The following is a 23,090-nucleotide window of genomic DNA, read 5'->3' as shown; positions in this document are numbered from 1 at the left end:
TCGTCTCCTCTCCTTTCGTTTCCATTTCTCCCTCCCTCCCTTCCCAACTTCCTCCTTCTCTTTCTTCAATTATTAATTTATTTAACTGATGTTTGCTGAGCACTTTTTATTCGTTTAAGCATTGTGCTAGGTACCAGACAGGGACAGGAAAGTGGCTCTAAGATAAAGCATCTGTGGAGGGAATGAGGTTACTTTCTGGGCTTTTTTCTTCATGATCATATCAGTGACAATCGTCTATCCCAGGCTATCTCGTGCATGTGTGTGTCATGTATGTATGTATATGTGCATATCTATCACTACAGATATGTTATAGTATCATTCATGTTTGTCTTCTCTTTTGCATTAATTCTTCTGATTTTTTCACACAGTGGGAACCTGAAGTAGGTTACTGCATATATGTCCTTGGTGTTTTTATTTAAAAAGCTTCCCACTACTTCAGACTGGCTGCTGTGTACCTAAGCATACTTTTTGCACCAGTGCTGCCATGGCACAGCAAACAACTGCTAGAGATGAACCCAATGAAGGGGCTTTCTACAAAACATCAAGGGGTAGTGGGAGAACAGATGCGACATCCTGACGCTGGAAGTGGTTTCCTGAGCAGGGAAAGGTGATTTAACTGGGGTGTGTGGCAATCCGTGCCCACAGATCAGTATTCCCCTACTGAAAGAAAAAATTTAAAAGTCTTTCAACCAAGAAAACAGGATTCAAACATCTTGAGGCGTTTGAGCCACCATGTCCTGGAAATAAAGCGATTGGTGGAGTGAACACTTTAGCTCCGGACCTCAGATGGCTCTTGAAAACCCAAGATTTTTGAGGCAGTGTTCTAGGGTTTCTAGAAAGTTGGATTCGAATTTCATCTTTTAGACTATGTTATTTTATGGCCGGGCGCAGGGGCTCACTCCTGTAATCCCAGCACTTTGGAAGGCCGGGGCGGGTGGATCACTTAAGGTCAGGAGTTCGAGACCAGCCTGGCCAACATGGAGAAACCTCATCTCTGCTGAAAATACAAAATTAGCCAGGCATGGTGGCGGGCGCCTATAATCCCAGCTACTCGGGAGCCTGAGGCAGGAGAATCACTTGAACCCGAGAGGCAGAGGTTGCAGTGAGTCAAGATTGCGCCACTGCATTCCAGCTTGGGCAACAAGAGTGAAACTCTGTCTCAAAAAAATAATCATAATAAAATAAAATACGTATTTTAGCTTCCTGCAGCTATTCAAGAAGTCTATAGCTCTGCATTGGTCTTGAACGCAAGTCTGTGCAGATCTTGCCACATGTAATTGTTGCAATGTAGGCCCTACTACAGCAGGGATGTCATAGGCTCGGTGAAGTGCCAGATGCTTTAAGTGCAGGATCTAAAACCAGACTGCCTGCGAACAGACTCTAACTCTGCCACAGAACAGCTATGTCAGTATAACCTTGAGCAAGACACTTAAATGGTCTATTCTTAATTACTGCCACTTTAAAATGGGCAGGAAATACCTTCTCAGGGGTTTGTTATGTGGATAAAATGAGTTAACATTTGTAAAGCACTTAAAAGAATACTAATACATTTAATAATAATTTGAAATCCTAAATTACAATTATTTATATTTATAAATAAAGATGAAATAATTTTGCCCTAGTTAGCGGAAATCATTGCTTTTTAGACCAGGAACAGAATCTTGCTTGGTAAGAAGAAGTTATCAATGAATCTTTGCCAATGGATGTTTGAAATTGGACTCAGAATGAAGCTAGTCATATTCTTCTAGAGCCAACTCACCTCTCAGTTAGCATAGACTATCTTGAGATGAACAATACAGGATGGAACAAATGTGTTGTGTGTTTGAAAGTACTTGAGCAAAATCACGCGAAGTAGAAAAAAGTATAATGAGAGGTGTTTGTTTGTTTGTTTTATCATTAGAGTAGTTAAAATTTGGCCCAGGCACAGTGGCATGCACCTGTAATCCCAGCTACTTGGGAGGCTAACGTGGGAGGATGGCTTGAGCCTAAGAGTTTGAGGCTGCAGTGAGCTATGATGGCACCACTGCATTCCAGCCTGGGTGACAAAGAGGGACCCTGTCTCTAAAAATAAAAATAAAAAATTTTCTTAAATCCTCAGTGTCGTTACGTAGGAATATGTCCTATGCTCCTCACCAAGTTTCAATTTTACCTTCAAACAAATCACAGTGAGCATAACAGTAAGATGCCGATGCTTCCTGTGTAAATTCACTAGCTAAACACCATAGGAAAAAATGTATGAAAACAACATTTAAATGTGCCAATACAAACAAACAAATAACATAATTCAAAGAAAGTTGCTGCCTTGCCCTTGGGGTGGTAACTCGCTCCTGCAGATAAATGATTAAACTTTATTCTGCTGATACTGAACAACTATCTCCTAGGAAAATACATTTGATATAGAAGTTTGGTGATATGATCCAAAGAATCTAAAACTGTACTTACAATATATTTGATAAAGAAGTTTGGCCAGGCATGGTGGCTCACGCCTGTAATCCCAGCACTTTGGGAGGCCGAAGCGGGTGGATCACTTGAGGTCAGGGGTTTGAGACCAGCCCGGCCAACCTGGTGAAACCCGTCTCTACTAAAAATACAAAAATTAGCTGTTCATGGTGGCACATGCCTGTAAGTCCCAGCTACTCAGGAGCCCGAGGCAGGAGAATTGCTTGAACCCAGGAGATGGAGGTTGCAGTGGGCTGAGATTGCACCACTGCACTCCAGCCTGGGAAACAGAGTGAGACTCCGTGTCACAAAAAAAAAAAAATAAAAGGAGTTTGGATTGGAGGGGGAGAGAGTATGAATTATTCACAGTTTAACAGAATGAGAGTACATCTATATAGAACTCCATTATTTTTATTTTTTTCCATCCTGTTAGTATAAATGGATATAAGGAAGATTCATACTTTTTAAAAAGTATATAACACACAAGAGGAAGGCACAGTTTAAGAGTTTAGGGCAGTTTTCAACACACCATGAAATAAGCTGGCAAAAATACACTGAGATCTGTTGACTGTCAAAACCATTTCAAAAAGTAAATTGAGTTTGTTATAAAAAAAATCAGCAAGATAAATTAGTTTAATAAAGTTGTGGCTGAGAAGTATTTAAGTAATTTTTTTATCAGGAAAATTAATAACTTTTTTAGGGGCTCACTTGCCATTTTAACACTAGACTAACACATGAAGAAAGCAAGAGTAGCGGTTCCTATAAAAAGTGTTTCCAAAATGTGTGCGAGTGGTCTTTGCATGCTGCAGAGATAACACTAGATGATCGAAATGCCACATTCTTTGAAAAGTGTTTGTAATATTTATTCATTCCATTGTTTAGCAAATATGATTTGTGCATATTATGTGTCATTTTGGGTTTGGGGGATATAAAGCCAGGCACAGCCTTTGCCCTCATGTAGTGAGACAGACATTAGATTATCGGCCGGGTGCGGTGGTTCACGCCTGTAATCCTAGCACTTTGGGATGCCAAGGTGGGCGGATCACCTGAGGTCAGGAGTTCCAGACCAGCCTGGCCAACGTGGTGAAAACCCGTCTCTACTAAAAATACAAAAATTAGCCGGGCATGGTGGCGGGCGCCTGTAATCCCAGCTACTTGGGAGGCTGAGGCAGGAGAATCACTTGAACCTGGGAGGTGGAGGTTGCAGTAAGCAGAGATCATGCATTGCACTCCAGCCTGGGCGATAGAGCAAGACTCCATCTTGAAAAAAAAAATCAGATTATCACACACAGATGCAGTTGTAACATACAACAACTACGTGCTGTAGGACCACAGCACAGAAGGACCAAGGGACCCAGTGAAGGCTCCTTGAGGAAGTGGCATTTCTAACAGATCTGGAAGTTGGGATTTATCTAGGTTGGATGGAGCAAGAGTGAGATGCTGGGATGGAGAATCTTCCAGAAGGAAGGGAGAGCCTGCACAAGACCCCGTGATAGAAGGGAGAATGGTGAGTTTGAGGAGGTGAGAGAAGTCCAGTTTTGGGGCTCAGAGCCATTGACTTGGTGGTGTAGCAGGAGGTTGGGTGTCAAAGGGACTGAACTAAGCAGTGTGTGGTGGGGCATATTAGGATTTTGATTTTCATCCTGAGAACAATGGAAACCTTTGGAGGGATTTAAGCAGGAGACATCGTCATCATGTTTGTGTTTTGAGAGTATTACTCTGACTGCAGTTTGGAAAAGTGATTGAAAAAGGACGGAAAGCTTAGTGGGAACTATTTCAACAGCCACAGCAGCAGCAAGAGAACTGCTGATACAACAGTTGCCAATGAGCATCTAAAACCCCCACATTAAAAAGGCTCGAGTGAAATTTAGGAGGTGAGATTAATGACACTAGCCAATAGATAATGTCATATGCATGTCAAACAGGCAGAATTTTTAGAGTTTTGTTAATTCTATTGGTAGGGAGTTCCAGAATTCCTGTTTTCATAAATTCTAATGTTTCAAAAACTGAAGTTTGTTGCATGTTCTGAAGATAAATGCTACAATTAAAATGGCAAGTGAGACCAAAAAATGCTATTAATTGTACTGATTACAATAACATTACTTAAATACTTCTCAACTTCACTGATCGAATTTGTTTATCCTGCTGGTATTTTTAATAATAAGCTCAATTTGCTGATTTAAACTGTGTTGCCATGCTTTCACTGGCATGTCAAGAAGCAGTGATGAAATTTAAACTTTGGACTCAACATGTAAGACAAAAATCATTTAAATAACAAATCAAACTTTGAATTATTTCTGATAGAAACAAACCTTCAGGTATGGTGGGATTTGAGACCTTACAAAATGACTGTTTAGAATATCTCACAATGTTAAAAGATGCATTTGGAAAAGGAACGAACAAAACCCCCAAGAACCATGAGACTATGTAAAAGACTGAACCTAAGACTGATTGGGGTACCTGAAAGGGATGGGGAGAATGGAACCAAGCTGGAAAACACACTTCAGGGTATCACCCAGGAGAACTTCCCCAACCTAACAAGACAGGCCAACATTGAACTCAGGAAATCCAGAGAATCCCAATAAGATATTCCATGAGAAGATCAACCCCAAGACACATAATCCTCAGATTCTCCAAGGTTGAAATGAAGGAAAAAATGTTAAGGGGAGCCAGAAAGAAAGTCCAGGTCACCTACAAAGGAAAGCCCATTAGACTAACAGTGGACCTTTCAGCAGAAACCCTACAAGCTGGAAGATATTGGGGGCTGATATTCAACATTCTTAAAGAAAATAATTTCCAACCCAAAATTTCATATCTGGCCAAACTAAGCTTCGTAAGCAAAGGAGAAACAAAACCTTTCCAGACAACCAAATGCCGAGGGAATTCATCACCACCAGGCCTGCCTTACAAGAGCTCCTGAAGGAAGCACTAAATATGGAATGGAAAAACTTACCAGCCACTACAAAAATACACTGAAGTACACAGACCAGTGACACACTATGAAGCAACTACATCAACAAATCTGCAAAATAACCAGCTAGCATCATCATGACAGGATCAAATTCATACATAACAATATTAACCTTAAATGCAAGTGGGCTAAATGCCCCAAGTAAAAGACACAGAATGGCAAGCTGGATATAGCCAAGACCCATTAGTGTGCTGTAGTCAAGAGACCTATTGATATGGTTTGGCTGTGTCCCCACCCAAATCTCACTTTAAATTGTAGTAATCACTGTGTGTTAAGGGTGGGGCCAGGTAGAGATAATTGAATCATGGGAGTGGCCTCCCCCATGCTGTTCTTGTCGTAGTAAGTCTCATGAGATCTTATGGTTTTATAAATGGAAGTTCCCTTGTATGATTGCCTTGCTGCCATGTACAACACGCCTTGGCTTCTCCTTTGCCTTCCACCACTTGTGAGTCCTCCCCAGCCACGTGGAACTGTGAGTACATTTGACCTCTTTCCTTTAAACATTACCCAGTCTGGGGTGTGTCTTTATTAGCAGTGTGAGAACAGACTAATACATCCATCTCACAGGCAAAGACACATATAGGCTTAAAAGAAAGGGATAGAGGAAAATTTACCAAGCAAATGAAAAGCAGAAAAATGCAAGTGCTGCAATCCTAGTCTTTGGCAAAACGGACTTTAAACCAACAAAGATCAAAAAAGACAAAGAAGGGCATTACAGAATGGTAAAAGGTTCAATGCAACAAGAAGAGCTAATTATCCTAAATACATATGCACCCAATACAAAAGCACCCAGCTTCATAAAACAGGTTCTTAGAGACATGCAAAGAGATATAGACTCCCACACAATAATAGTGGGAGACTTTAGCACCCCACTGTCAATATTACACAGATCATTGAGACAGAAAAGTAACAAAGATATTCAAGACTTGAACTCAGCTCTGGATCAAGTGGACCTGATAGATATCTACAGAACTCTCCCTCGAAAAACAACAGAATATACATTCTCCTCAGTGCCAAATGACACCCTAAAATCTTTCACATAATTGGATGTAAAACACTCCTCAGCAAATGCAAAAGAACTGAAATCATAACAGTGTCTCAGATCACAGCACAATCAACTTAGAACTCAAGATTAAGAAACTCACTCAAAACCACACAACTATATGGAAAGTGAACAACTTGCTCCTGAATGGCTCCTGGGTAAATAGCAAAATTAAGGCAGAAATCAAGAAGTTCTTTGAAACCAATGAAAACAAAGAGACAACATACTAGAATCTCTGGGATGCAGCTAAAGAAGTAGTAAGAGGGAAATTTATAGCACTAAATGTCCACATCAAAAAGCTAGAAAGATCTCAAGTCAACATCCAAACATCAAAACTAAAAGAACTAGAGAACCAAGAACAAACAAACCCCAAAGCTAGCAGAAGACAAGAAATAATCAAGATTAGAGTGGAACTAAAGGAGACAGACATGCAAAAAAAAACCTTCAAAAATCAACAAATCCTGGACTTTTTTTTTGAAAAAATTAATAAAATAGATAGAACTCTAGCTAGACTAATAAAGAAGAAAAGAGTGAAGACTCAAACACAATAAAAAATGATAAAGGGGACATCATCACTGACCCCACAGAAATATAACCATCAGAGAATACTATAAACATCTCTATGCAAATAAACTAGAAAATCTAGAAGAAACAGACAAATTCATGGACACATACACCTCCCAAGACAGAATCAGGCAGAAGTTGAATCCCTGAATAGACCAATAACAAGTTATCAAATTGAGGCAGTAATAAATAGTCTATTAACCATAAAAATCCAGGACCAGATAGATTTACAACTGAATTCTACCAGAGGTACAAATAGGAGCTGGTACCATTTCCTCTAAAACTATTCCAAACAATTGAAAAAGAGAGACTCCTTCCTAAATGCATTTTATAAGGCCAGCATCATTCTGATACCAAAACCTGACAGAGATACATCAACAACAAAAAAACTTCAGGCCAATATCCCCGATGAACATCGATGCAAAAGTCCTCCATAAAATACTGGCAAACCAAATCCAGCAGCACTTCAAAAAGCTCATCCACCATGATCAAGTTGGCTTCATCCCCAGATGAAAGGATCGTTCAACATATGCAAATCAATAAATGTAATTCATCATATAAACAGAACCAAAGTCAAAAAACCACATGATTATCTCAATAAATGTAGAAAAAGCCTTTGATAAAATTCAACATTCCTTCATATTAAAAACTCAATAAACTAGGTATTGAAGTAACATACCTCCAAATAGTGAGAGCCATTTATGACAAACCCACAGCCAACATCATACTGAATGGGCAAAAGCTGGAAGCATTCCACTTGAAAACTGGGACAAGACAAGGATACCCTCTCTCACCACTCCTATTCAACATAGTATTGGAAGTTCTGCCTAGGGCAATCAGGCAAGAGAAAAAATAAAGGGTGTTCAGATAGGAAGAGGGGAAGTCAAACTGTGTCTGTTTGCAGATGACATGATCCTATATCTAGAAAACCCCATCGTCTGAGCCCAAAAGCTTCTTAAGCTAATAAGCAACTTTAGCAAAGTCTCAGGATACAAAATCAATGTGCAAAAATCCCAAGCATTCCTACACATCAGCAATATACAAGTACAGAGCCAAATCATAAATGAACTCCTATGCACAATTGCTACAAAGAGAATAAAATACCTAGGAATACAGCTAACAAGGGAGGTAAAGGACCTCTTCAAGGAGAACTATAAAACACTGCTCAAGGAAATCAGAGAGGAAACACACAACTGGAAAAACATTCCATCTTCATGGATAGGAAGAATCAACATCATGAAAATGGCCACACTGCCCAAAGCAATATATAGATTCAATACTATTCCAATCAAACTACCATTGATATTCTTCACAGAATTAGAAAAACTACTTTAAAATTCATGTGGAACCTAAAAAGACCCCATATAGCCAAGACAATCTTGAGCAAAAAGAGCAAAGCTGGAAGCATCATGCCCCTGACTTCAAACTACACTGCAACGCTACAGTAACCAAAACAGCATGGTACTGGTACAAAAACAGATACATAGACCAAAGGAACAGAAAAGAGAACTCAGAAATAGGGCCACATGTCTACAACCATCTGATTTTCAACAAACGTGATAAAAACAAATAATGGAGAAATAATTCCCTATTTAATAAATGGTGCTGAGAGAACTGCCTAGCCATATGCAGAAAATCAATACTGGACCCCTTCCTTACACCTTATAGAAAAATTAACTCAAGATGCATTAAAGACTTAAATGGAAAACCCAAAACTATAAAAATCCTAGAAGAAAATCTGGGAAATACCATTCAGGACATAGGCATAGGCAAAGATTTCATGACATAAATGTCAAAGGCAATTGCAACAAAAGCAAAAATTGACAAATGCAATCTAATTAAACTAAAGAGCTTCTGCACAGCAAAAGAAACTATCATCAGAGCAAAGAGGAAACCTACAGAGTGGGAGAAAATTTTTGCAATATCCACCTGACAAAGGTCTAATTCCCAGAATTTACAAGGAATTTAAACAAATTTACAAGAAAAACCAAACAACCCCATTAAAACGTGGGCGAAGGACATGAACAGACAATTATCAAAAGAACACATATTTATGTGCCCAATAAACATATAAAAAAACGCTCAACGTCACTGATCATTAGAGTAATGCATATCAAAACCACAATGAGATAGCATCTCACCTAGTCAGGATGGCAATTATTAAAAAGTCAGGAAACAACAGATGCTTTTACACTGTCAGTGGGAATGTAAATTTGTTCAACCATTGTGGAAGACAGTGTGGCTATTCCTCAAAGACCTAGAACCAGAAATACCACTTGACCCAGCAATTCCATTATTGGGTATATACTTAAAGAAACATAAATCATCCTATTATAAAGATACATGCACAGGTATGTTCACTGCAGCACTTTTCCCAATAGCAAAAACATGGAATCAACCCAAATGTCCATCAATGATAGACTGGATAAAGAGAATGTTTTACAGATACACCATGGAATTCTATGGAGTCATGAAAAGGAACAACATCATGTCTTTTGCAGGACAGGGATGGAGCTGGAAGCCATTATCCTCAGCAAACTAATGCAGGGACAGAAAACCAAACACTGCATGTTCTCACTTATAAGTGAGAGCTGAACAATGAGAACACATGAACACAGGGAGGGAAACACAAAACACTGGGGCCTGTCATGGGGTGGGGTGGGGGGAGAGAGAGCATTAGGAAAAATAGCTAATGCATGCTGGGCTAAATACATAGGTAACGGGTTGATAGGTGCAGGAAACCACTGTGGCACACGTTTACCTATGTAACAAACCTGCACATCCTGCACATGTATCTTGTAAATTGAAGTAAAATACAACAACAACAACAACAACAACAACAAAGATGCATTGATTGAACATAGGACAACAGACCAAAAAAAAAAAAGAAAAAAAGGAGAGAGATGCATGCAGAAGGTGCTTTCGGCCAAAAAATGAAGACTTCAGTTATATGTGAAACATGTTAACTCTCTCCAACCTGAATATTTATTCAATATAAAGAATGTTAGCAGTTGTTGGATATTGTGAATGATCCAACTAATTTTCTACTACTTATATCTGAAGTTTTGTTAGTTTGATACTAATTTAAAAAAATTAAACATATTCAATTTCAATTTATTTTATTTTTACATTTCTTCATATGAATACAAGGATAATACAAATACTTTTACAATGTTTCATGTGCATCTATCTCCTAGTTATATTAATAAAGCAACAGTTTGTTTTATAAATCAGTTACATCAAGATTCAACTACTCTTACATCAGACAAAATAGATTTCAAGACAAAAAGTATAAGAAGACAAAGAAAATCACTATATGATGACAAAGGGGTCCATTCAGCAAGAGGATATAACAATTTTAAATATATATGCACCCAACGTTGGATGACCCACATACATAAAGCAAATATTGATAGAGCTAAAGAGAGAGATAGGCCCTAATACAATAATAGCTGGAGACTTCAATACTCCACTTTCAGCATTGACAGATGTTCCAAACTGAAAATCAAAAAGAAAACATTGGACTTGATATAGTTTGGATGTGTGTCCTTGCCCAAATCTGGTATTGAAATGTATTTCCCAGTGTTGGAGGTGGGGGCCTGGTGAGAGGTGATTGGATCATGGAGCAAGAGGGGGAAATGTTAAACCATTCATGAGAACCCCCTGATCTCATGAATGGTTTAGTACCTCCCCTGCTTGTTCTCTTGATCCTGCTTTTGCCATGTGATGTGCAAATTCCCGCTTCACCAGCTGCCATGATTGTAAGCTTCCTGAGTTCTCTGCAGAAGCTGATGCCAGACGTTTGCTTCCTGTACATATTGCAGAATTGTGAGCCAATTAAAGTGCTTTTCTTATAAATTGCCCAGTCTCAGGTATTATTTATTCAGCAACGTGAAAATCGACTAATACAGTACTTAATCTGCACTATAGACTAAATGGACCTAACAGATATTTATAGAACATTTCATCCAATGATTGCAGGATACACATTCTTATCCTCAGCACATGGATCTTTCTCATGGATAGACCACATGTTAAGTCAGAAAACAAGTCTTAAAATATTTAAAAAATTGAAATAATATCAAGCATCTTCTCCAAACACATGGAATAAAACTAGAAATCAATAACAAGAGGAATTTCAGAAAACATACAAATACAAGCAAATTAAACAATATGCTCCTGAATGACCAGTGGGTCAATGAAGAAATTAAGAAGAAAACTGGAAAATTTCTTGAAACAAATGATAGTGGAAACACAACATACCAAAACCAGTGAGAAACAGCAAAAGCAGTGTTAAGAAGAAGTTTATAGTCATAAGTGCCTACATCAAAAAAGAAGAAAAACTGCAAATAAACAACCCAGTGATGCATCTTAATGAATTAGAAAAGCAAGAGTAAGCCAAACCCCAAATTAATAGAAGAAAATAAATAATAAATGAGATTGAAGTGAAGAAAGCAATACAAAAGATAATGAAACAACCAGTTGGTTTTTTGAAAAGTTAAGCAAAATTGACAAGCCTTTATCCAGACTAAGAAAAACAGAGAAGATCCAAATAAATAAAAGCAGAGATGAAAAAGGAGACATTACAACTGATTTCACAGAAATTCAAAGTATCATTAGTGCTACTATGAGCAAGTATATACCAATAAACTGGAACATCTAGAAGAAATGGACAAATTCTTAGACACATACAACCTACCAAGATTTAACCATGAGGAAATCCGAAACTGGAACAAATCAATAACAAGTAATGAGATCAAAGCCGTGATAAAAAGTCTTCCTGTAAAGAAAAGCCTAGGACCCAATAGCTTCACTGCTGAATTCTACCAAACATTTAAAGAAGAAGTAATATCAATCCTATTCAAACTCTTCCAAAAAGTAAAGGAGTAGACAATGCTTCCTAACAAATTCTACAAGGCAATTATTACCCTGATATCAAAACAAGACAAAACCACATCAAACAAACAAACCCAACTACAGGCCAATATCTCTGATGAATATTGATGCAAAAATCATCACCAGAATACTAGCAAACTGAATTCAACAATAAATTTAAAAGATTATTCATTCTGAACAAGTGGGATTTATCTCTGTGATGCAAGGATGGCTCAGCATATGCACATCAATCATTGTGATACATCATATTGACAAAATGAAGGACAAAAAATATGATTATTTCAACCGATGCTTAAAAAGCATTTGATGAAATTTGACATCCCTTCATGATAAAAACCCTAAAGTAACTGGGGACAGAAGGAACATGCATAATAAAAGCCATATATGACACACCCACAGCGAGTATTATACTGAATAGAAAAAAAAAAGGAAAGCCTTTCCTCTAAGGTCTAGAATGGAACCAGGATGCCCATTTTCATCACTGTTATTCAATATAGTACTGCAAATCCTAGCTAGAGCAATCAGACAAGAGGAAAAAAAAGGGCATTCAAATTGGAAAGAAGAAGTCAAATTATCCTTGTTTGCGGATGATATGATTTTATATTTGGAAAAACCTAAAGACTCCATAAAAAACTATTAGAACTGATACACAAATCCAGTTAAGTTGCAGGATACAAAATCAACATACAAAAATCAGTAGCACTTCTATATGCCAACGGTGAGCAATCTGAAGAGAAATCAAAAAAGTAATCCCATTTACAATAGCCATCAATAAAATTAAAGTAATCCCATTTACAATAGCCATTTACAATAGCCATCAATAAAATTAAATACCTAAGAAGATCTCTATAATGAAAACTATAAACTGCTGATGAAAGAAATTAAAGAGGGAACCAAAAAAATTCTTCCACCATGGATTGGAAGAATCGATATTGTTAAAATGTCCACCCTACCCAAAGCAATCTATAGATTCAATGCAATCCCTATCAAAATAATGACATTCTTCACAGAAATATAAAAAACAATCCTAAAATTTATATGGAATCACAAAAGACCCAGAAGAGCAAAAGCTATCCTAAGCAAAGAGAATAAAACTGAAGGAATTATATTACCTGACTTCAAATTATACTGCAGAGTTATAGTAACCAAAACAGCATGGTACTGGCATAAAAACAGACACATTGATCAAATGGAACAGAGTAAAGAACCCAGAAACAAATCCACACACCTCCAGTAAACCATTTTCAACCAAGGTGCCAAAAACATACATTGGGGAAAAGATTCTCTCCTCAATAAATAGTGCTGGGAAAACTGGCTATCCATATGCAGAAGAATGAAACTTGATCCCTCTCTCTCACCATATACAAAAATCAAATAAAAATGGATTAAAGACATAATCTAAGACCTCAAACTATGAAACTACTACAGGAAAACACTGAGGAAACTCTATAGGACATTGGTGTGGGCAAATATTTCTTGGGTAATACCCCACGAGCACAGGCAACCAAAGCAAAAACAGATAAATGGGATCACATCAAGTTAAAAAGCTTTTGTACAGCAAAGGAAACTATCAATAAAGTGAAGAGACAACCCACAGAATGGGTGAATATATTAGTAAACTACTCATCTGACAAGGAATTCATGATCGGAATATATAAGGAGCTCAAACAACTATATAGAAAAAAATCTAACAATCCAATTAAAAATGGGCAAAAGATTTGAACAGACATTTCTCAAAGGAAGACTTACAAATGGCACCAACCCAAATGTCCATCAATGATAGAGTGGATTAAGAAAATGTGGCACATATACACCATGGAGCACTATGCAGCCATAAAAAAGGATGAGCTCATGTCTTTGCAGGGACATGGATGAAGCTGGAAACCACATTCTCAGTAAACTGTCACAAGGACAGAAAACCAAACACCACATGTTCTCACTCATAGGTGGGAGTTGAACAATGAGAACACACGGACACAGGGTGGGGAATATCATACACCAGGGCCTGTCAGGAGGTGGGGGACTGGGAGAGGGATAGCATTAGGAGAAATACCTAATGTAAATGACGAGTTGATGGGTGCAGCAAACTGACATGGCACATGTCTACCTATGTAACAAACCTGCACATTGTGCACATGTACCCTAGAAGTTAAAGTATAATAAAAAAAATTAAAAAAGAAGACTTATAATGGCAAACAGGCCTATGAAAAGGTGCTCAGCTTCATTGATCATCATAGAAATGCAGATCAAAACTAAAATGAGATATCATTTTACCCCAGCAAAAAATGGCTTATATCCAAAAGACAGGCAATAACAAATACTTGCGAGAATGTGGAGAAAAGGGAACCCTTGTAAACTGTTGGTGGGAATGTAAATTAGTACAATTATTATGGAGAACAGTTTGGAACTGCCTCAAAAAACTAAAAATGGAGCTACTATATGAAAACTATAAAATTCCACTGCTGGGTGTATACCCAAAAGAAAAGAAATCAGTATATCAAAGAGATACCTGCACTCCCATATTTTTTATGTACAGCAGTGTTCACAATAGCCAAGGTTTGGAAGCAACCTTCCAAAGCTGTTGATGTGTCCATCCTCAGATGAATGGATACAGAAAATGTGGTACATACACACAATGGAATACTATTCAACCATAAAAAGAATGAAATCCTAGCCAGGCGTGGTGGCTCACGCCTGTAATCACAGCACTTTGGGAGGCTGAGGCAGGCGGATCACGAGGTCAGGAGATCGAGACCATCTTGGCCAACACAGTGAAACCCCATCTCTACTAAAAATACAAAAAATTAGCCGGGCGTGGTGGTGGGCGCCTGTAGTCCCAGCTACTGGGGAGGCTGAGCCAGGAGAATGGCGTGAACCCGCAAGGCGGAGCTTGCAGTGAGCCGAGGTCGCGCCACTGCACTCCAGCCTGGGCAACAAAGCAAGACTCCATCTCAAAAAAAAAAAAAAAAAAAAAAAAAATGAAATCCTGTCATTTGCAACAACATGGATGGAACTGGAGGTCATTATGTTAAGTGAAATAAGCCAGGCACAGAAGCACAAGCAGTGCATGTTCTCACTTTTTTTTTGTGGGATCTAAAAATCAAAAAGATTGAACTTATGGAGATAGAGAGTAGAAGGATGGTTACCAGACGCTGGGAGGGTGGTAGCTGGGTCAGGGGGAGGTGGGGATGGTTAATGGCAAAAAAATCATTCGAAAGAATGAATAAGACCTAGTACATGATAGCACAACAGGGTGACTGTAACAATAATAATTGTACATTTTAAAATAACGAGTATAATTGGATTGTTTGTGACACAAAGACACAAATGCTTGAGGGGATGGATACCCCATTTTGATGTGACGATCATCCACTGCATGTCTGTATCAAAACATCTCCAGGACCCCATGAATATATACACCTGCTATGTACCCACATAAATTAAAATAATACATTTTTAAAAAGATTCAGCTACCTTGTTTTTGAAAGAAGACTGAGTATAAAGAAATATACCATAAATCATTTTTAAAAAATACAGATTATAAATAAATACTGCATACATAAATATGTAAACAAACAACCAACCAGATTTACCCATCCCCATAACAGGTAGTAAATATTTGACACTTTTCTAATATCACTTGAATTGCTCCAGTGTTTGTTTTATGGCCTTCCTCTTGACTGTCATCATTAAACTTTTGCTGGATGGGTGTATTTAGTGTAGACATTCTAAAATTTTCACTTTCTTGTAAACAAAACAAATACAAAACAATGTATGACTTTTTGTTTTTTGGTAATAAAGCTTCTTAAGAAAAAATATTTTTTCTTCAAATTCTTGATTTTGCATTTTCTTTCTGACCAGTAGTTAATCTTTTGAATGTTGTTTTTTCCCCCAAATCTATATTTTTACATTCAATATTTTTCTTCATTGTTAACAACACATTTAAAAACTGAAATATATAATCATGAGTGCATTATTGCAATGTTCTCTTACAGCGGAATGAAATAGCTTGACACTAAAATGGCAGTAAGGAATTTGTCCCCTCAAGAGAAAGTCCCTTTATTTTACATCCATATAACTACATGACTTCCATGGGTCCTGGAATTCTTCTAAATTATTTTATTATTAATACATCATATTTATGAGAGTATGACAACCAGTGGATTACAGCTATAATGGATTTTGGTACAGATGATATATTACCCTACTACAAATTATATGAGCAAAATTGATCTTTGATCTTTAAAACTAAACTTCCTTTGTGGTATATTGTTCACAAAATACTCCCCTGGCAGGAAGTGTTTAAAACAAACACGCAAACAAATGAACAAACCTTTTTGCCAGATTCCAGGTAGCACCTGCTGAGATACAATTTTCCATGCACAGGGGGCCAGTGATCAGTGGCGTACACTTCAGCTCACTGCTGTCATAAACCAGGAGGGGTCGGTCAGAAATTCCTCCCTATGATATAATCTATGTTCAAAATTTGTCTGGTAATCAGAGTACTTATATCTTTTTTGACCAAAATACCCCAAATTTGTCTGTTCCAGGAGGAGAGGAAAAAACCTATGATAATTATAGTGAGGCAACTCAAAAGCAAATGGTTTCAAGTCAGTATTTACCCTCTAGACGTATTCTCAGATTCATCAAGCTTTAACAAATATAAAAGATGTAAAAATATATAGCAGCAACCCAAACTCCCAAGTGTCTTATATCAAAGCTGTTAAGTATTTTTACATGCCTTCGTGATGTGTGGAGTGGATCATTGGTATTGGTAAGTGGAGGTTTGGAAAAAAGAAAGTTTAAAAGAGGAATGTTTTCTTAAATAAATGGAAGCCAAGAATAACGTTCATGCCATGCTCTAACTGCCATTTCAAAGCTCTACATAAGCTAAAACAAATAAACCAACCCCGTCTTGTTGACCTAGATTACTGCTTAAACAAAGGTACATATTCTTAATTTACATGAAAAGCAATTAGGTCTGCTGCTGACAGCACTGTGGAAAACGCATCTGCTCAGGGCAAGCTTTTATATTTGAAAAAAATAAGCTGGAAGGCGTTTTTTCTCCCTCCTCAGCCCCTATCCACTTTAGGCCAGAAATGCTATTAAAATTTTTAAACTGGTTTGGGTGGTGGATTATAATTACTGTTATACATTTTTAAGTATGCTTAAAAATTATTTTCTGATTTCAGCCCAAAATCTGACATTTCATGATGTTGTTTGGTATTTAAGAAATGGCTAGGAAATGATATACTATTTTTCCCTCTCTGGAACGCGTTGTGAGCGAGCTAGACTTTAAAAATACAAAAGAAAAAAATAAATTGGGAAAATTACGGCAGGAATATTTATGTTAAAATATGAATTTGTTAAGCTAAATATATTTTTAGAGTCTGGGTATCTTTCTTAGACTTAGGTGTTTACCAAGACAGTAAATGTCTCTTTTCTTTTTGGATTTTTTTTTTTTTTTTTATTCAGGGGATACATGTGCAGGTTTGTTACATGGGCATATTGTGTGATGCTGAGGTTTGGATCTCCTAATGAACGCATCACCTCAGTGGTGAACATAGTGCCTCACAGGTCTTCAGCTCTTTCCCCACTTCCCTCCTTTTAACATGCCCAGTGTCTGTTGTTTCCATTTGTGTGTCCATGTATACCCAATGCTTCCACTTATAAGTGAGAACATGCAGTATTTGATTTTCTGTTTCACATTAGTCCACTTAGAATAATGGCCTCTTGCTGCATCCACATTGCTGCAAAGGACATAATTTCATTCTGTTTGTGGCTGCATAGCATTCCATGGTGTATATGTACCACATTTTTTTTTTTTTTATCCAATCCACCATTGATGGGCACCAAGATTGATTCCATGATTTTCTTATTGTGAACAAACAAACATGTGGCTATAAACATACGAGTGCAGAACAATTTGGTGGAACAATCTATTTCCTGTGAGTATATACCCAGTAATGGAACTACTGGGTCAAATGGTAGCTCTGTTTTTAGTTCTTTGAGAAATTTCCAAACTGCCTTCCAGAGGGGCTGAACTAGTTCACATTTCCACTAACAATGTATAAGGATTCCTATTCTCTGCAGCCTTGCCAGTATATGTTATTTTTTGACTTTTAATAACTGGAAGTTTTTTTCTGATTAGAAAGGTGATACATGCTTTTTTCAATAAGTAAATATTGAAGAGAGAAAGTACAAGATTGACTACTATTTACACTTTGATATTACATTTTCCTACTTAAATTTATTCATTCATTTGTTTATTCATCAAATATTGGGCACCACCAATTTCTAGAACATTCTTAGATGAAAGGGATACAGTGATATGCAAGGCTAGCTTCATTCTTGCACTCACAGGGCAAGAAGTCTAGAGGACCTTTAAACCAATGGACAAATATATCTTTATAAATTTTGATAAATTCTTTAATGGTAAAGAATGATGTTCTATGGAAGGATATACTAGAGGGTCTTTTATAATCTTGGGTGTATTTTAAAGTTTTCTGGGGGGGATTTGAGTGAAATATGACTAATCAGTAGAAGCATTTAGGTGAAGTGAGAAAGAGGAGAGGGAGAGGGAAGGATACGCAAAGGCCCAGGATGGGAGGCTGTGATGTGATCAGAAACTGGCAGGAACTATTCACAGTAGCAAAGACATGGAATCACCATAGGTGCCCAGTAGATTGAATAAAGAAACTGTGGTACATATACAGTGTATATGTACATGGGATACTACACAGCCATGAAGAAGAACAATAGTATGTCCTTTACAGCCACATGGATGCCCCTGGAGGCTATTATTCTAAGTGAATTAATGCAGGAACAGAAAACCAAATACAGCATGTTCTCATAAGTGGGAGCTAAACATTGGGTACATATAAACATGAAGATGGGAATAGTAGACACTGGAGTGGGTTGAAAAAGTTCCTGTGGGGTACTGTGGTCACTATTTGGGTTATAGGTTCAACAGAAGCCCCAACCTCAGCATTGCACAATATACCCATGTAACAAACCTGCAGATGTACTCCCTGAATCTAGAGAAAATTTGAAAAAAAAATCCAGAGGGAGAAATAGCAATAATAAAATAAAATAAAAATAAGAAAGAAAACTGGCAGGACTGATTGGCAAGGAGGATGTGGTACCAGGTGAGGCTGGAGAGATGGGTAGGCTAAGCCTTGAGAGTGAGTGCAAAAATGAGTTTTGAGTATTGTCCTGGGAGTGATGGAAAACCACTGGAGGATTTTAAGTTGAGAAGTGATATGATTTCATTGAAATGCTTACTTTGAAAGATGACTTTTCTTTTTTATTTTTAAATGGACATAACAGTTGTATATATTTATCGGGTACCTAGAGATGTTGCAATATATATAATGTATAGTGATCAAATCAGGGTAATTAGCATATCCACCATCTCAAATCTTTCTCATTTCTTTGTGTTGGGAACATTCAATATCCTCCTTCTAGCTATGTGAAATGGTATATTATTGTTAACTACAGTCATCCTACAGAGCTATAGAGCACTACAACTTATTCCTCCTATCTAGTTGTAACTTTTTTATCCTTTAACCAATCTCTCTCTATTCCCCCTTTCCCCCAGATTACTTTTTTAAACTATTTTTTAATTTTTTTTTGAGACAGAGTCTGGCCCTGTTGCCCAGGCTGGAGTGCAATGGCGTGATCTCAGCTCACTGCAACCTCCGCCTCCTGGGTTCAAGCAATTCTCCTGCCTCAGCCTCCCAAGTAGCTGAGATTACAGGCTCCCACCACCACGCCCAGCTAATTTTTTGTATTTTTAGTAGAAATGGGGTTTCACCATGCTGGCCAGACTGGTCTCGAACTCCTGACCTCAAGGGATCTGGCCGCCTCAGCCTCCCAAAGTGCTGTGATTACAGGCATGAACCACAGCACCTGGCCCCAGATTACCCTTAAAACACAGCCAAATACGTTAAAGCTATTCCCAAAGCAGTTCGGTCTGTTGGCTCCCATGAAGACTGAGTCTTCCACAACCAAGTAGAAAAACCCAGCTAGGCACAGTGGCTCACGTCTGTAATCCCAGCACTTTGGGAGGCTGAGGCAGGCGGATCAGATTGCTTGACTGAACTCAGGAGTTTGAGACCAGACTGGGCAACGTGGAGAAACCTCGTCTCTACAAAAAAGTACAAAAATTAGCTGGATGTGGTGTCATGTGCCTGTAGTCCCAGCTACTTGGGAGGCTGAGGTGTGAGGATTGCTTAAGCCTGGAAGGTCAAGGTTGTAGTGAGCCAAGATTCAGCCTGGGAGACAGAGCAAGACCCTGTCTCAACAACAAGAACAACAACAACAACCCAAGTAAATATCTTTTTCCACACTAATTTTTCCAAGAGAAACGAGGTCAAGGCTACAGGTCAACTTTGGTTTGGAGGTTTCTCTTTGATGTTTACGTACTACTTTGGTTTTTACTTTTTCATAACAGAACTGATATGTATAAGCAAAATGTTGCAGTGGAAAACACTGGGAGAATTGGTCTCTGTGTTGAATTGAGGGGATTGGCATTAAACCTTAGAGAAGCGAAGACATCACACATATAGCAAAGGGAAAAATGTCTAATCCACAGCATTTCAGTAATTCCTGCACTGTAGGTCATGAGGAGCAGAGGACAAGAGGGAGCTTTGACCAGTGGCGCTGGGTGCAAAGAACCAGGCCACAAGCTGGTGGCAGGAAACAGCCAGCATGACTCAGAGGGGGCTTGATGTTTTCACATTCGGTTCACAGGAAACTTTGGGGGTTTCCAAATTGAGGGTGAGGTTGCTATCAGAAGTATGGCCATCAGATGCTGTGTAGCCAAAGAAAGACACAATATCCACTAAAGGGTTGGTCTTTGAGAGTGGCTTCAGAAATGGAAAGGGAAATGTTATTGCTCACCAGGTAACCAGCCCAGGCAATAGGACAGTGAACTCCAAATGCGGCCAAGCCAGGACCTTGTTTCATGGACACCTTGCTGAGATACAACTTCGACTTGTCTTGGTTTTGGTAATGCTGGGGGTAGTAGATGCTTGCACTGTGATCTGGACAGTGCCCCCTACTCATTGGATGATTCTGGGAAACTCCCTTAGTCTTTTAAAGCCACTGTTTTCTTTACTATGAAAGTAGGAGTACAATCCTTGCAGGGTTACTATAGAATCAGATGAGGTTATGTACCATGTCTGGCACTAGGTAACCACTCAGCAAATATTAGCTATTATTAAATCTCAAAATATGCAGTAAAATATGATTTCTCTGTGTCTTGGTTTCTACATCTATGCAATAGGAAACAGCAAACTGTTAAATCAATTTTATTTGTAAAGCATGTAAGGAATCTGAAAGGAAAGATCACTTTATCAAAGTGAAATATTCCCAACAATACGATGGAAGATTTAATCTAAGCTAGATAAATATTATTATTCTCATTATACAAAGGTCAGAATGATGCTGGGAACTAAAGCAACTTGTCAAAAAATGTCAGAGTTTGAGATTAGAATGCTGGTTTTCCTAGCTCCTAGGAATACTGTTAGACAGAGGCTTTCTGAAGCAAATAATCCCCATCCATTCAAATTATTTCAAACACTCCAGATGATTACAACTCAGTCAATTTTTTTTTTTCTTCTTCCATTGAGCTTACATCTCTGAGTTAGGCAAATAGTTTAGTTAAGGAAATAAAATCCCACACGCTTGTGAGACTGCAGCATTGGCTAATCAGGGTGGATGGCTATAGAGGACAGAAGGCGAAGGATCTTCTTTGTAGAAATTTACAAGCAGACCAGAAGAAAGTTAGCAATTCAATCTCATACCACATAAATCAATTAATATTGAAAACCCAAAGAATCATCCCCTTCTAGGATAGTCATACACGGTAAGTTATCTGGTTGTACAAACCAAATAATTACTCATCCAGAATTAGATGTTCCCTAACTTCAAATGATCACAACATCATTTCCAGTTCTCAGGAAATATATAATATAATGTATTTTCCTGCCTCACCATAAATTTCCTGTGGTTTGCATTATCATTGCATATAATATCATAAGCTCCGTGCCTTGCTCAGTAGCTTTAAGACCTTTGTTCTGTTTTCTGTCCCTCTAAAGACATTGCCAATAAATTATAAAGTGACTTTAGTTTGTAAAATAGCAAAAGAAAATCGTCTTAGTTAATCTCTCTGAATGTGTTCATGGGCTCATAGGAAGTTCCAGTTCAGGTGCTAATGTAATCCTGTTATGCCGATCAATACTAAGACAATTTATAGGATTTTATCACTCCCTTCACAAGGTCCTCATGCAAAGCATGTAAGAACTACAAGAAAAATTCCTTTAAAAGCCTGTATCATTATTTTATAGTATGGGACTATTTTATTTAGGTCCTAGGCTCTTATCTAAGTAAGGAGGGCATGTGTGTGTGTGTGTCTGTATTTCATAATGTTAACACAATTAAACTTATTAACAAAGAGTTTATTGTGAAAAAATGATTCTTGGAAATCATATACTCCTTTGTAAACAGAAAAGGCTAAACATTATATACAAGTATAATATGATGTTCCTCTTTCACTACAACTTTAATCTTAATGACTACGTAAAACTCAATCCAGGAAAAAGTCCATTTTGTTATGCACACAAGCAAGCCAATTTTCACTAGGTAGAGTAGAAGATGAAAAAAAACAAGCCTCTCAACCAACCTGTATGTTCACACTTCACCAAACTTCCTGCATTTCTCATGCCTGTATTTTGGCAGGACAGGGCGAAGCACGGCGTGTGGCCTGGTGATAGACATGGCCAGGAGGGCAGGGTGTGGATGGGAACAGAGTACTCTGGTTGAAGGGGAGAGGACCTCAGGGAGCAGGACCAGCTAGCAGGGAAATTGGCTAAAGGCAGCTAAGTCGCTCTGTGGTCTGTATCTAAAATCAGCAAAAGACTTAATTTTGCCTGTGGTCTTGTCTATGTTTGGAATATGTGTCCATTGTAAGGCAAACAGTGAGGGTGTATTTGGCAAATTTTATGACTTTTGGTAAATGAACTCCTGATAAAATCCAGAGAAAATCTGACTAGCCCAAATTATGTGCTCTTTTTTACATTTTAAATTATTTTGAATTGTTTCATTTATAGAGACATGAAAATGATTGTTACTTTATAATTATTTTTTACATAAAACCAATCAATTCTGGAAAGA

At 37.9% G+C, this 23,090-nt stretch overlaps 1 protein-coding gene across 7 annotated transcripts in view, besides 2 other annotated features; it reads right to left on the bottom strand.

The window, feature by feature from the left end:
* TENM3 (teneurin transmembrane protein 3) overlaps positions 1-23,090 on the bottom strand; it is a 1,355,412-nt gene that overhangs the window by 763,113 nt on the left and 569,209 nt on the right. The window lies entirely within an intron of this gene.
* Positions 20,515-21,024: an enhancer, noted in NCBI's record as "active region_22176". NCBI's record gives its function as "activates an Ori minimal core promoter by ATAC-STARR-seq in GM12878 lymphoblastoid cells {active_cell/tissue: GM12878}" and the evidence as "EXISTENCE:reporter gene assay evidence [ECO:0000049][PMID:35858748]".
* Positions 21,065-21,114: an enhancer, noted in NCBI's record as "active region_22175". NCBI's record gives its function as "activates an Ori minimal core promoter by ATAC-STARR-seq in GM12878 lymphoblastoid cells {active_cell/tissue: GM12878}" and the evidence as "EXISTENCE:reporter gene assay evidence [ECO:0000049][PMID:35858748]".

Source organism: Homo sapiens, chromosome 4 (assembly GCF_000001405.40).
Source record: "Homo sapiens chromosome 4, GRCh38.p14 Primary Assembly".
NCBI lineage: Eukaryota > Metazoa > Chordata > Mammalia > Primates > Hominidae > Homo > Homo sapiens.
Note: the sequence above shows the minus strand (reverse complement) of the source record. Positions and strands in the feature narration are given on the sequence as shown.